Source organism: Homo sapiens, chromosome 11 (genome assembly GCF_000001405.40).
Source record: "Homo sapiens chromosome 11, GRCh38.p14 Primary Assembly".
Taxonomy (NCBI): domain Eukaryota; kingdom Metazoa; phylum Chordata; class Mammalia; order Primates; family Hominidae; genus Homo; species Homo sapiens.
In genome coordinates this window covers 1,896,409-1,910,393 of record NC_000011.10, presented here as the reverse complement: position 1 = coordinate 1,910,393, position 13,985 = coordinate 1,896,409, and the positions used below count along the sequence as shown (strand labels likewise).

Genomic DNA, 13,985 nt, shown 5'->3' with positions numbered 1-13,985 from the left:
CCTGTAATCCCAGCTACTCAGGAGGCTGAGGCAGGAGAATCCCTTGAACCCGGGAGGCAGAACTTGCAGTGAGCCGAGATCATGCCACTGCACTCCAGTCTGGGCAACAGAGCGAGACTCCGTCTCAAAAAAAAAACACCACAATGGCGCCCAGTGACATCTTGGCCAGCGTGCAGGGTGCATCCCTCAGTCCGGCATTTGCATTGCTGGGCACAGATTGCTGTTGGTCACTGCAAAGAATCAGAAAACCTCCACACATTCACCAAGAGGAGAATGGACAGGTACACCGTCGTGTATTCATAGATGGGTTCTGCACGATTACAGCTGACCTGCGGCTGTGAGCCACCAATGGCGAAGTCCCGGACACAGCAACCACATTGGGGTGGGGGTGAAAGAGTTGCAAAAGGAAAAATCATGCTACTTACATGAAATTTAAACAATAGTTTTATATTTTAAAATATCACTTGCACCTGGATATACAGAACACACACTTATGATGAAACGTCCCTGCCAGCAGAGCAGAGGATTCCACCACAAAGGAGCTGCACAGAGCCCTCAACTCAGATGAAGCCATCACGTTGTATTTCTTCTTCTTCTTCTTCTTCTTTTTTTCTCAGATAGGGTCTCACTGTGTTGCCCAGGCTGGAGTGCAATGACACCACCACGGCTGACTGCAGCCTCAACCTCCCAGGCTCAGGTGATCCTCCCATCTCAGCCTCCTGAGTAGCTGGAACTACAGGTGCCCACTGCCATGCCTGGCTAACTTTTGTTTTTGTTTTTGTTTTTGAGACGGAGTCTTGTTCTGTCGCCGAGCTGGAGTGCAGTGATGATCTTGGCTCACTGCAACCTCCGACTCCTGGGTTCAAGCAATTCTCCTGCCTCAGTCTCCCGAGTAGCTGGGATTACAGGCGCGTGCCACCACGCCCGGCTAATTTTTGTATTTTTAGTAGAGATGGGGTTTCACCGTGTTGGCTAGGATGGTCTCGATCTCCTGACCTCGTGATCCGCCCACCTCAGCCTCCCAAAGTGCTGGGATTACAGGCATGAGCCACCGCGCCCGGCCCCAACTTCTGTATTTTTTGTAGAGACTCACTGTGTTGCCCAGGCTAGTCTCAAACTCCTGGACTCGAGCCTCGCAAAGTGCTGGGATTACAGGTGTGAGCCGCCGTACCCAGGCCCAACTTTTGTATTTTTTGTAGAGACTCACTGTGTTGCCCAGGCTAGTCTCAAACTCCTGGACTCGAGCCTCCCAAAGTGCTGGGATTACAGGCGTGAGCTACCATGCCCAGCCATGTTGTCTTTCTTAAGCTAAGTGGGGGCTGGGTAGATGGGGGCTCTTCCTAACTTTATTTATGCCTACTGGCATAGTTTGAATAGTTCCTAATTGTTAACTATAGGGGGAAGGGCATTTGCTAAAAGTCAATTCTTGTTTCTGAAAGCAAAACAACACGAAGGCTCAAGAAACTATAGAAAACTATAAATAAGCACTTCCTTTATCTCCCCTTGCTGGGGGAACACTAAGGCGTTCCAGCCCAAGACAGGAACCAAAGAAGGATGCCTGCTTTTACCATTACTGTTCGACCCTGGTCTGGAAATGAAGGACAATGCCAATGATGTGAGGCGGAAATGAGACGTATAAGTTCTGGAAAGGAGGAGCCAAAACAGCACATTCCTAGGAGCCCCCAGAGAGTCGGCGGAAGAGTTTTCAGAAAGAATGAGAGAATTCAGGAACGCGGCCAGATGCAAAATACATATTTTAAATCAGTTTTTAAAATTATCTTCCAACAACCACCAGCTAGAAGATAAAGTAGAATTTGAACATTTTTTACTCTAAAAAAACCCAAACAAGAGTATAAAGTACTTAGCGACGGTCCTCTTGAAAAGTGTTTGGAATCTGTAGCAAGAAAATGACAAACTTGAATGACAAATGTAAGAAAAAAACTTTTGAAAAAACAAAAGAAAAAAAATGGGTAGGGAGTTTGACTCTCACAAAAAATCATTTCTTTCCAAATCAATGTGTAGCCTTATCAGATTTTCAGCCAACATTCTAGTGAGTTTATTTGGGGGTGGGGGTGGGCGGGGGTGGGGAGATACTTGGCAAAAAGAAGCTGAAATTCGTACAGGAGAAACACGAAGGAACGGCCAAGAACATTTGGAACATCAGAGCCGAATTCAAAAGTGAAGGTGATGTAGCAGATTCATATTTAGAGCTCCCCGCAGACCAGCAGTCAGACAAAGCGTCTTTGGCCCTGGCCCTGTTAACTCTCACAGCAGGCTGAGGAGGTAGATGCTCTTATCCTTGGAGTCTTCCCAGAGAGCAAACTGAAGCTCAGAGGGGGTTGAACAAAATCCTGAAGGTCACACAGCTACGAGGCAGTGCAGTCAACTCTGAGACCGTGACTCCTGACTTCACAGCCACATCTTCTGTAGGTCGTAACACGGATCCTCATTCCACAATACCTATCCCGCAATGTTGTGTATGCACGGGAACCTGGGGGTGGCACGGTCGAGGGAGTCTGGCGGGGATATTTCATAAAAGAGGTCGAGAAAATCAGGTATGCACTGGGGAGGAAAAAAAGGCAGTGAGATTTGCTCTCCACATCAAATGCCAAAATACATTCCAGGTGAATTACAGAGGCTACGACATGTGAAAAAAAAAATGGTTAAAAATAAAGCTAGAGGCCGGGCGCGGTGGCTCACGCTTGTTATCCCAGCACTTTGGGAGGCCGGGGCGGTTGGATCACCTGAGGTTAGGAGTTCGAGACGTGCCTGGCCAACATGGCAAAACCCTGTCTCTACTAAAAATATAAAAAAATAAGCCGGGCATGGTGGCGGGAGTCTGTAATCCCAACTACTGGGGAGGCTTAGGCAGGAGAATCACTTGAACCCTGGAGGCCGAGGTTGCAGTGAGCCAAGATTGCGCCACTGCACTCCAGCCTGGACAACAGAGCGAGACTCCATCTCGAATAGATAAATAAGCTAGAGAGATGTGTGCTGCACACTTATCTGCTTTCATGCTGGGGAACAATGTTTCCAGCTTTAGAACAGTGGAAACATGATGGAAGAAAAGGGCAGCTCAGCCCATTTCACCACTTCACCATTTCAAGTTTCTGTCTATCCAAACATGTCCACCAAAATTAAAAGGCAGATTTCCACTCCTGGCTGAGATGGGGTAGCAGGGACTGGATTTATCTTCCTGCCTGAAACAACCAAACAGCAACACAGAACAGACAAAATACACAGGACAATGAAACAACCAAACAGCAACACAGAACAGACAAAATACACAACACAATGGCTCTCAAGATCCCACACGTGGGCCGTGCACAACAGTGCTTCCCGGGCTGGGAATTGGCCTCAGGGGCCTCTCGCTGCCCATGCACTTTCTGGTGGGTTTCCAGGCCTCAGTGCGGGAAGCGGGAGTTGAGGTGGAGCCCACAGAGTCCCTGAGCTGATGAGACAGAGCTGGGGGTCTCCAGGCAGCTGAAGTTCGTGAAGCTCAGAGAGCTGCCCAGAGAGAGAAGCTGAGACCCGAGAGTCCCCCTGGAGTATTAGGGACTGAGCCATCAGCACATCCCAGGGAAAACGTCCCAAGGCGGGAAAGCACAATCCGAAAGGACTAGAGAGACCAGTGCCGGGAGCTCACATGGACCTAGGAATTGTGTCTGCTCCCACCAGCCTCAGCAGAAAACCCTATCACGCACAGCGGTGGGGGGCTCAGAAACAGCTTGCCTCCATAGTGGGGAATAGTTAGCCCACACTATTCCAGACCTCCCTTACAAACGGTAAAAGTAATACTTGAAAGGATCAAACTGCTTGCAGATAAACAGCTACATTCCAGAACAAAGCTCAGGAATATTTGTGGAAATATAAAAGTATCTAGCTCCCACCCGAGTTAAAGTTTACAATGTCTGCATTCCAATAAAAAATTATCAAAAAGACAAAGAAGCAGGAAAGGGTGACCCATAAAAAAGAGGAAATATCAGTCACTCAGAGCCAACTGTGGGACGTTAAAGCTAACAACTAAAAACCCAAGTCAACCCCTAAAATAACAAAACAAAGAGTTACAGCGAAAAAGCCAGCAAACAAGATGATGTAACGAATAAAACTTCTCATGAACGCAAAAGGAGGCAGAAAAAGAGTAAAGGGGAGAAAAGAACAGATGTGACAAATAGAAAGCAAATAACAAGGTGACAGACTCTAACCTAACCATACCAGTAAGCACATTAAATATCAATGGGCTAAACTCCCCTATTAAGAAGCAGAGGGGCCATGCATGGTGGCTCACTCCTGTAATCCCAGCACTTTTAGAGGCTGGTAGAGGAGGATCCCTTGAGTCCAGGAGTTCAAGACCAGCCTGGGCAACAGAGGGAGAACTCATCTCTCCAAAAAAAAAAAAAAAAATACTTTAGCTGGGCGTGGTGGCATGTGCCAGTAGTCACAGCTACTCGGGAGGCTGAGGCAGGTGGATCCCTTGAGCCCTGGAGGTCAAGGCTGCCATGAGCTGTGATTGCACCAATACACTCGAGCCTGGATGCCAGTGAGACCCTGTCCCCCCCACAAAAAGAAAGCAGAGGTTGTCTGATTGATAAAAAAGCAAAGCCCAACTCTGTGCTGCCTGTAAGAAATATGGTTTAACTGGCCAGGTGTGGTGGCTCACACCTGTAATCCCAGCACCTTGGGAGCCCAAGGTGGTAGGATTGCTTGAGCCCACGAGGTCAAGAACACCCTGGGCAACATTTCTACCAGGGTTTGGTAGAAACCCCGTCTCTACCAAAAATACAAAAATTAGCCAGGCGTGGTGGCACACGCCTATAATCCCAGCTACTAGAGAGGCTGAGGCACGAGGATCGTTTGAACCCAGAAGGCGGAGGTTGCAGTGAGCTGAGATCACGCCACTGTACTCCAGCCTGGGCGACAGAGCGACACTCTGTCTCAGAAAAAAAAAAAAAAAAAAAAAGAGAGAAGGCCGGGCGCGGTGGCTCACGCCTGTAATCCCAGCACTTTGGGAGCCTGAGGCAGACGGATCACCTGAGGTCAGGAGTTCGAGAGTAGCCTGGCCAACATGGCGAAAACCTGTTTCTATTAAAATTTAAAAATTAGCTAGGTGTGGTGGCGTGTGCCTGTAATCCCAGCTACTCGGGAGGCTGAGTCAGGGAGAATTACTTGAACCTGGGAGACAGACGTTGCAGTGAGCTGAGATCGCGCCACTGCACTCCAGCCTGGGTGACAGAGCAAGACTCGGTCTCCAAAAAAAAAAAAAAAAAAAAAGAATTCTCAAGCAATGACCTTGCTCTCAGCTTAAGGAAAATAGAAAAAGAAAAGCAAATTAAACCCAAAGTGGGCAGAAGAAAGGAAATAGTAAACATCAAGTAGAAGCTGATAAAACAGAAAACAATAAATAATAGAACAAAATTGAGAAAACCAAAACTTGGTTCTTTAAGAATATCAGTAATCCTGATAAACCTTTAGCCAACTTGATGGGGAAGGGCCCGGGGAAAGGAGGAGAAGGATAGAAATTACCGATATCAGGAACAAGAGAGGCAGCGGGAGTACAGGTTCTGCAGAGATTAAAAGAATAAAGAGGCTGGGCGCAGTGGCTCTCGCCTGTAATCCCAGCACTTTGGGAGGCTGAGGTGGGTGGATCACCTGAGGTCAGGAGTTCGAGACTAGCCTGCCCAACATAGTGAGACCCCCATCTGTACTAAAAATGCAAAAATTAGCTGGGTGTGGTGGCACGCTGGTCTCGAATTCCTGGCCTCAAGTGATCCACCTGCCTCAGCCTCCCAAAGTGCTGAAATTACAGGTGTACAGATGTAAGCCATTGCACCTGGCCTTAAATTTCTTCTTTTTTTTTTCTTTTTTGAGATAGAGTCTTGCTCTGTCGCCCAGGCTGGAGTGCAGTGGTGCCACCTCTGCTCACTGCAACCTCCGCCTACCAGGTTCAAGCAATTCTCCTGCTTCAGTCTCTGGAGTAGCTGGGATTACAGGCATGCACCACCATGCCTGGCTAATTTTTTGTATTTTAGTAGAGACGGGGTTTCACCGTGTTGCCCAGGCTGGTTTTGAACTCCTGAGCTCAGGCAATCCACCCGCCTCGGCCTCCCAAAGTGCTGGGATTACAGGCGTGAGCCACTGCGCCCGGCCAAGTTTTCTCTTTAAACGGATGGCATCAGAAGTGGATCTGGCGTAGAGCTTCCAGCGGCCCCCAGGAGCTCTGACTGACCAATGGAGGACCCACAGGGCCCACTGTGCCCTCTGCTCTCTCAGAGCAGCTGGGGATCGTGGGAAGTTCTCTCTTGGATTCCAAAGCTCCATGGATGTGTGTTTTGAGCCATCTGAGTTTGCTTGAGCAAATTTTTTTATCTAAGCTGGGTTCAGAAGTCGTGACAGAAACTGGACTGGGTCCAGGATGGAATCTGATTTGATCATTCACTGGCTTGGATGCAGTTAGAGGCCTTGTGTGTCTTGACTGGGTCAGGCGGAAACTGGCTGTAAATGGCAGGGCTGCAGGAGGTGCACACTCCAGCTTTTGGACATTCACAAGGATGTTCGTGTTCTACTCTCTTGGTTTCTTTTTCTTGCACACTAAGGCAGGGAAAAATCATTGCTCAGTTGATCACGAGGATCTAAGAGCCAAAGCCAAGATTTAATGTAAAATGGGATCCTTCATCTCTGAAAAACCGAGCACCTTCTGGCTCGTATGTCCGTACGTGTTAGGTCCCGGACGCGGCAGATGTTTACAGAAATGGTGGCATCTTACTAAAGGTGAATGAAAATTACGGTGGGATGTTCCAAGTGAACACCACTGCACTTTAAGAAGTGCACCTAAAAACAAGGGCTCCTAATTAGCCTCATCAGGGATGCCAATTGATGTGAAGAAGCTTCTAAAATGATTTCAGTATTTTTACTCCCTCTTTTAAAAGTGTCTGCACAAAAGGCAAATGAGGCCTGGCAAGGTGGCCCATGCCTGTAATTCCAGCACTTTGAGAGGCCAAGGTGGGAAGATTGCTTAAGCCCTGGAGTTTGAGACCAGCCTGGGCGATACAGTGAGACACCCGCCCCCCACCCCCCGCTCCACAGCTCCCCACTATCTCTACGGAAAAAAAAAAATTAGCCAGGCACGGTAGCACTCACCTGTAGTCCCAGCTGCTTAGGAGGCTGAGGCGGGAGGCAGAGGCTGTGTCTGAGGCGTGTGAACCAGAGCGACTCCATCTTGAACAGGGGCTGGGTAAAATGAGACTGAGTCCTACTGGGCTGCATTCCCACATGGTCAGGCATTCTAAGTCACTGGATGAGACAGGAGGTCGGCACAAGATACAGGTCATAAAAACCTTGCTGATAAAACAGGTTGCAGTAAAGAAGCCGGCTAAAATGCACCAAAACCAAGATGGTGACGAGAGTGACCTCTGGTCGTCCTCACTGCTACACTCCCACCAGCACCATGACAGTTTACAGATGCCGTGGCAACGTCAGGAAGTTACCCTGTATGGCCTAAAAAGCAGGGGTGGGGGGCATGAGTAATCCACCCCTGGTTTAGCATCTCATCAAGAAATAACCAAAAAATGGGCAACCAGCAGCTCTCGGGGCTGCTCGGTCTATGGAGTAGCCATTCTTTATTCCTTTACTTTCTTAGTAAACTTGTTTTTGCTTTGCGCCGTGGACTCACCCTGAATTCTTTCTTGCACAGGATCCAAATCCAAGAACCCTCTCTTGGGGTCTGGATCAGGACCCCTCTCCTGTAACAATTGCAGTGAGCTATGATGGCACCACTGCACTCCAGCCTGGGTGACAGAGCAACACCCTGTCAAATAAGATAAAGACAAAATAAGATCATAAATATAAATTAATTAAGACAAAGAAAAAGCTTAAGTGACCAATTGATAAGAAAAAATGAATCTGCTGAGCTTTTGGCCTGGTTACTATCCCATACAGAAAGCTATCCTAGATGAAGTGTGTCTAAAAGGTCTCTCAGATCCAGCAGGCTTTACTTCAGATCCACCCACGCTGAGCCCAGGCCGAGGGAAGCCTTTCTTTGCCTTATTCCTTAATGGGTCCCACCCTGTACTCAGTAATTTCAGCTAAGAAGCAGTAGCCACATTAGAAGGACCACCTATCCACAGGTTGGTGTGAAAGTAATTGTGTGTTTTTTTTTTTTTTTTGAGATAGAGTCTCACTCTGTCGCCCAGGCTGGAGTGCAGTGGCGCGATCTCTGCTCACTGCAAGCTCCGCCTCCCGGGTTCAGACCATTCTCCTGCCTCAGCCTCCCGAGTAGCTGGGACTACAGGCGCCCGCCACCACGCCCGGCTAACTTTTTGTATTTTTAGTAGAGACGGGATCTCACCATGTTAGCCAGGATGGTCTCGATCTCCTGACCTCATGATCCACCCGCCTCGGCCTCCCAAAGTGCTGGGATTACAGGCGTGAGCCACCGCGCCCGGCCATAATTGTGGTTTTTGCAATTACTTTTCAACCAGCCTAATAACTAAAATGCACCTTTCTGACATTCAACGGCTACCTTGAAACCATTTTGTGAAAGAAATTTACATCTCCACAAGACATTTCCATTTGCAACGTCTGGGAGGGACATCCCTTTGTTTTAAATTTACGTAACAAGTCTTACCTTTGTTTAACGTGTTTTTCCTGGCCATGTTGTCTTCACTGGGCCTTGCTTTTTTCTTGGTTGAGCAAATGATGATGGTACAGTATTTAAGCTGAAAGTCTCAGCTTAAATAGCTTTTCATATATACATTTTCTGCCTTGTTTCACCTAAGAGTTATCTTTTTTGAAGGCAAATTGTTCCCTAGCTAACGATTGCTTAGGATGATAAAACAAGTAATTAGAAGATTGATAGTCTAAAGGGGGAAAAGAAAACTATTTGAAAGCTGGCAAATGAAAATTCTTTCTGAAATCTGTAAGATCTGTTTCTATCTGTGTCTGTTATGACTATATGTCTCTCTGTATGACATGTATCTGATAATATTTAGGAAAAAGCTGAAACCACCTTTGCATTGTCTCTTTGACTGAGACGGTGAGAGACATCTAACTTAATTGACTCCATCTTGCCTTTTTTTTTTTTTAGAGGTGGTGTTTTGCTCTTGTCGCCCAGGCTGGAGTGCAATGGCGTAAACTTGGCTCACCACAACCTCTGCCTCCTGGGTTCAAGCGATTCTCCTGCCTCAGCCTCCCAAGTAACTGGGATTACAGGCATCTGCCACAACGCCCGACTAATTTTGTATTTTTTTTAGTAGAGATGAGGTTTCACCATATTGGCCAGGCTGGTCTGGAACTCCTGACCTTGTGATCTGCTCACCTCGGCCTCCCAAAGTGATGGGGTTACAGGCGTAAGCCACCGTGCCTGGCCCTTCCATCTTGCTTCTAACCTCCTTGCTTATTCCTGTCCTTGCTTATTCCTGGGAGTAGGCTGAACTAACTTTGGGAGAAACTTAGTTTATAGTTTAAAACAAAGACGATAACAGCCTTTCCCAGTGGAGAGAGCTACTAAGGGCCCCTATAGTATCCAAAAAAGAGAGAGACAGAAGTATTTGATAAATTAAATTACATGGGAAGCACTGCCAAATAAGAAATGATGTTTAACCTTATTTGAGATATTGTTTGTGAATACGTCATTAATATATGCTCCAAAATTGTATGGGGTTCCTAAAATTCTGATACATCCGGGTATATGCTGTCACTCTTAATTACAGTTAAGTTATTGTAGGCCACAGAAGTAATCAAAATTCCTTGTCAGTTCTTCTTTAACCATGACCATTTTACGTCATTTCCAGAGTTAATTGCTTTTTTCTGACGTTTCTGAAAACTCACAAACACACACAGTCCTACAATATTGAGTCCTCCAGGAGGTTCGTGAAAGGAGAGAAAGGACCCTGATAAGCCCTCTTGAATAGGCTTCTGATAACTTTAGTGTAATGTCATTTGGACTGGGTAAAAATTCCCGGAACTCTAATGGAAAGATTGACTGGTTTATAAAATTGCTAACCTGGGCAGGACAAAAATTAATTGAATACCAAGAAAACACTTTGCCAGCTTTTCATGCTAAATCAGCCAGTACTGATATTGTTTAGATACCCAATTTGAATTAAATCCATCGTCCAAGTCAAATTACCTATGATAACCCTTCTAATAAACAGTGCTATGCACCTGAACTGGAGAAACAAAATTGGTATTTAAGAAGATATAAGTCCAGCATCAAGCATGGACACATGGACAGCCAAGATGGCCACCTGGTCCTTCCTGTGTCCTTGAAGCTTCCACTATTAAATGCTCTGCACTCCATGATTCATCATGGAAGAGACAAATTAATCCAAATTTTATATATATATGTATATATAATATACATATATATATTTGACATGGTGACCGTTGTAAGTTGTTAAAATGGTTTACGACCAATGTTTGGTCTGCCAAACCCATAATCCTGGGAGGACAATCGAAACTTCCATTACACTTCTGCTACTTGATGGGCCATTGAAACATTGCTGGAGGGATTTCCTTCAATTGTCATTTTCAATGCGTGTTTTCTGGTTATATAGAAGCTTTCCCAGGCAAGAGCACTGATGTTATAGCAGTAGCTAAAAGATTATTAGAAAATTGTTTTTCTCATGGGACGTCCCTTGAGAAATCTCCCATGATAGATGTACTTGTTTCACTGCTCAAGTGGTAAAACTGTTAATAACTTGTTACAGATACAATAATATTAAGCAAGGGAAATGAATGAACTGGGCTGCCTTGGTCAAGGGTGTTGCAGGTGGATGGCCGTCGGGTCCATTTCCAGTGGAAAACATAAGTTGGTGCCTTATGAAATAGTCCCTGGAAGTCCTATATAGAACCTCATGTATCTTCCACTCCTCAACTCCGATATGGCTAAAGGCTCCTAGGCCTTAATGCATTATGCCTAAGTATATTTTCACCAGGTACAGAAAGCTTTTCATGGTCCACTGAGGACCCTATCAAACGCTTCACAATCTAGAACCCAGACATTTGGTTTTCTGAGAGTATCACAGAAAGACTGCCCTTGCCACCCACACTGCAGTGAAATTCTAGGACTTTGAACCCTGGGTTCGTTATCTCACCGCTCAAGAGGGCATCGCCAGACTCCAGCAACTGCAGCCCCATTGGAGATTTTAAGGTAAAGCTAATCAGGGAAGTTTCTCCCCAGAAGCAGCTGGCATCCCAGATATGGACAGCTTTTTCCCAAGAACTTGAGACTGTCATGCCTCTGAATAATAGAACTAAAAAGGGATCTCTTATGTGCACTCATGGGGTATACTTTTATTTGTGGAGGATTTTGCAGCCAATCCTATATGTGGACAACCTTTTGCCTTGACAGTTGGAAGACGAAGGGCCAATGTAGGTGAAAAAAAAAATTAGCTCACTCCAAGTCTCACTCTGTTGCCCAAGCTGGAATGCAGTGGTGTGATCTCAGCTCACAGCAACCTTTGCCTCCCAGGTTCAAGCGATTCTCCTGCCTCAGCCTCCCAAGTAGCTGGGATTACAGGCACCTACCACCAAGCCCAGCTAATTTTTGTATTTTTAGTAGAGACAGGGTTTCACCATGTTGACCAGGCTGGTCTCGAACTCCTGACCTCAAGTGCCCACCTCGGCCTCCCAAAGTGTTGGGATTACAGGCGTGAGCCCCTGTGCCCGGTCTGGGTGAAAAATGTTGAGGGTGCCTTTGTTGCTTCCCAATCAATCACAAACAACATCGCTCCACTCCTCTACATCACAGCTTAAAGAGAACTCTGGCAGGAGCTTCACTCTTCTAGATGGGCACTGTTTGTGAGGCCTCTTTTTCCATGGTTTGGAGTAAATGAGGCAAAGATTTAAAATGTATCCCTCTGCTGGGCGTGGTGGCTCACGCCTGTAATCCCAGCACTTTGGGAGGCCGAGGTGGGTGGATCACAACGTCAAGAGATCAAGACCATCCTGGCCAACACGGCAAAACCCTATCTCTACTAAAAATATTAAAAATAAGCTGGGTATGATGGCGGGCGCCTGTAATCTCAACTAATCGTGAGGCTGAGGCAGGAGAATCGCTTGAACCCAGGAGGTGGAGGTTGCAGTGAGCCGAGACATGGCTGGCGCCGCTGCACTCCAGCCGACGGAGCGAGACTCGGTCTCAAAAAAAAAAAAAAAGTATCCCTCGTAATTGGCTCTGGAACAGATTCTACTCCAAAGGCTATGGTTACACAACAGTCTTTAAATTCTCTTGCTAAAGGTGTGTGGGATGATAGACTTGCTCTGGATCCCTTACTAGCTAAACAGAGGAGCGTCTGTGCCGTTGCCGATGCTTCTTGTGGCACATGGAGGAATGTATCAGGTATTAGAAAGGTTCGGTTGTAGGGGATTAACAAACAGGCTGCTTGTTTGAAATGAGTAGACTCTTTATCCAGCTAACTCTCTGATCTATTTGATTTTCGTTGGTTTGCTTCATGGGACCCCACCTAAGGAGCATGCTTCACATTCTTGGTATTAAATATGATCTTCCTGATGGTCATAATACTCGTCTCCCTGGCGCTCTGCATTCTCTCCGGAGTTTTAAATGTTTGCATGCAGCCATCTGTAGGATGCTAAATGGTGTCTCTTTGACTGGAGCAACAAGAACTCAAAGAAACACAAGGCCATGAGGATGTCGTAACCTAGGTACGAATGACATTCTGTGACCGGAAGCTGGAAGTGGCGGTGACTGAGGGTGGTGCCAAGGCCCTAAGGCTTGGCTACACTTTCCACTAAATGAGAACCTGACCAAAGGCAGGGAATTTTTAAACAAAATTATAAGAGGCCATTGTTTTGGACTGAGCTCCCGCAAGAGGCCCCAACGGACCAGACCAAACCCAGATGGAGTCACGCAAGCTAAACGCAACACCATCAAACCGAAGCTTTACGGAAGCAGATAGGTCCTAAGGCAGACCAGGGTTTGTTTTTCTGAGCACATGAAATTCCAGCACAAGGAGGTTCCTCTCTATCCCTTACAAAAATATATAACCCGAGGTCCTCGTTCCCACTTACGAAACCCATTGTTCTGCTATTTCCCAGTGGGGCTTGGGACCAAACAAGTACATTTACAATGGCGACAGGGACACCAATGTCTAAAGGGGGAAATCGTTAAATTAAGCTTGGCGTAAAGCTGCCTCCTGACATAGTTTATGTTCCGCCTTCTCCATCCACTGTGAACTGAAACCTCACTGGAGACGTAAACAGACTGAAGCCTTCCCTTGTGCCACTCACCAGGTTTCCGCTCATCAAGGGTGCCGGCCATTCCAACCGTGTTCAGATAAGGCAAGCATGGAGCTGCAGCCCCTCTGGCGGTTTCTGTGCTTTGCTTCCGTTTTCTGTGCCTCCTTTCCCTTTTCTGTCCACCAATCTTCAGCCACACGGCAGCACCAGAGCCTCTCTGAACCTATTTTGGTTTGGGGGCTGCCCCATTAGCGAGTGGTTCTTTGCTTAATTAAACTCTGTTAAATTTAATTTGTCTAAGGTTTTTCTTTTAACAGTACAGAAAAAGCATTTGAAAAATCCAACGTCGGTTCCTGATTTGTTTAAAAAACATCACTCAGTAAATTAGGAATAGAGGGAACTTCCCTAACCTAATACAGGATATCTATGAAAACCCCACAACCGATGGCGGAAGACTGAACAGTTTCTCACTAAGAACAGAAAGGAGGCTGGGATGTCCGCCCTCATCACCTCCGTCCAACATTGACCTGGAGGTTCCTGCTCGTGCAATTAGGCCCCCAAAAGAAATAAAAGCCATACAGACGAGAAAGGAAAAAGAAAACAATCTTATCTACAGATAACGTGACCATCTAACCCGATGGAATCAACAACAAAAGAAAAACCTGCAAGAACTACTCAGTGAGATTAACAAGGTTGTGGAATAACAAGACTGATATACAAAGTCCATTGTGTTTCTATAAAATGGTAATCAACTATCAGATATTGACATTAAAAATACCACTTCCTAA

At 46.3% G+C, this 13,985-nt stretch overlaps 1 protein-coding gene and 1 long non-coding RNA gene across 2 annotated transcripts in view, besides 3 other annotated features; one reads left to right on the top strand and one right to left on the bottom strand.

Annotated features, from left to right (window-relative positions):
• PRR33 (proline rich 33) overlaps window positions 1-13,985 on the top strand; it is a 29,722-nt gene that overhangs the window by 7,315 nt on the left and 8,422 nt on the right. The window lies entirely within an intron of this gene.
• LINC01150 (long intergenic non-protein coding RNA 1150) lies at window positions 2,035-13,635 on the bottom strand. Its single transcript, NR_120534.1, has 4 exons — window positions 13,249-13,635; window positions 7,670-7,804; window positions 7,138-7,290; window positions 2,035-2,562 (listed from the first exon to the last, which is right to left on the bottom strand). It is a non-coding gene; the product is annotated as a long intergenic non-protein coding RNA 1150 (long non-coding RNA).
• Window positions 2,906-3,405: an enhancer, noted in NCBI's record as "H3K4me1 hESC enhancer chr11:1928219-1928718 (GRCh37/hg19 assembly coordinates)". NCBI's record gives its function as "activates a minimal SCP1, AML or CMV promoter by ChIP-STARR-seq in naive H9 embryonic stem cells {active_cell/tissue: H9 hESC(naive)}" and the evidence as "EXISTENCE:reporter gene assay evidence [ECO:0000049][PMID:30033119]".
• Window positions 3,406-3,907: an enhancer, noted in NCBI's record as "H3K4me1 hESC enhancer chr11:1927717-1928218 (GRCh37/hg19 assembly coordinates)". NCBI's record gives its function as "activates a minimal SCP1, AML or CMV promoter by ChIP-STARR-seq in naive H9 embryonic stem cells {active_cell/tissue: H9 hESC(naive)}" and the evidence as "EXISTENCE:reporter gene assay evidence [ECO:0000049][PMID:30033119]".
• Window positions 12,375-13,574: an enhancer, noted in NCBI's record as "MED14-independent group 3 enhancer chr11:1918050-1919249 (GRCh37/hg19 assembly coordinates)". NCBI's record gives its function as "activates an origin of replication core promoter dependent on BRD2, BRD4, P300/CBP and CDK7 cofactors, and independent of MED14, by STARR-seq in HCT116 cells {active_cell/tissue: HCT116}" and the evidence as "EXISTENCE:reporter gene assay evidence [ECO:0000049][PMID:35650434]".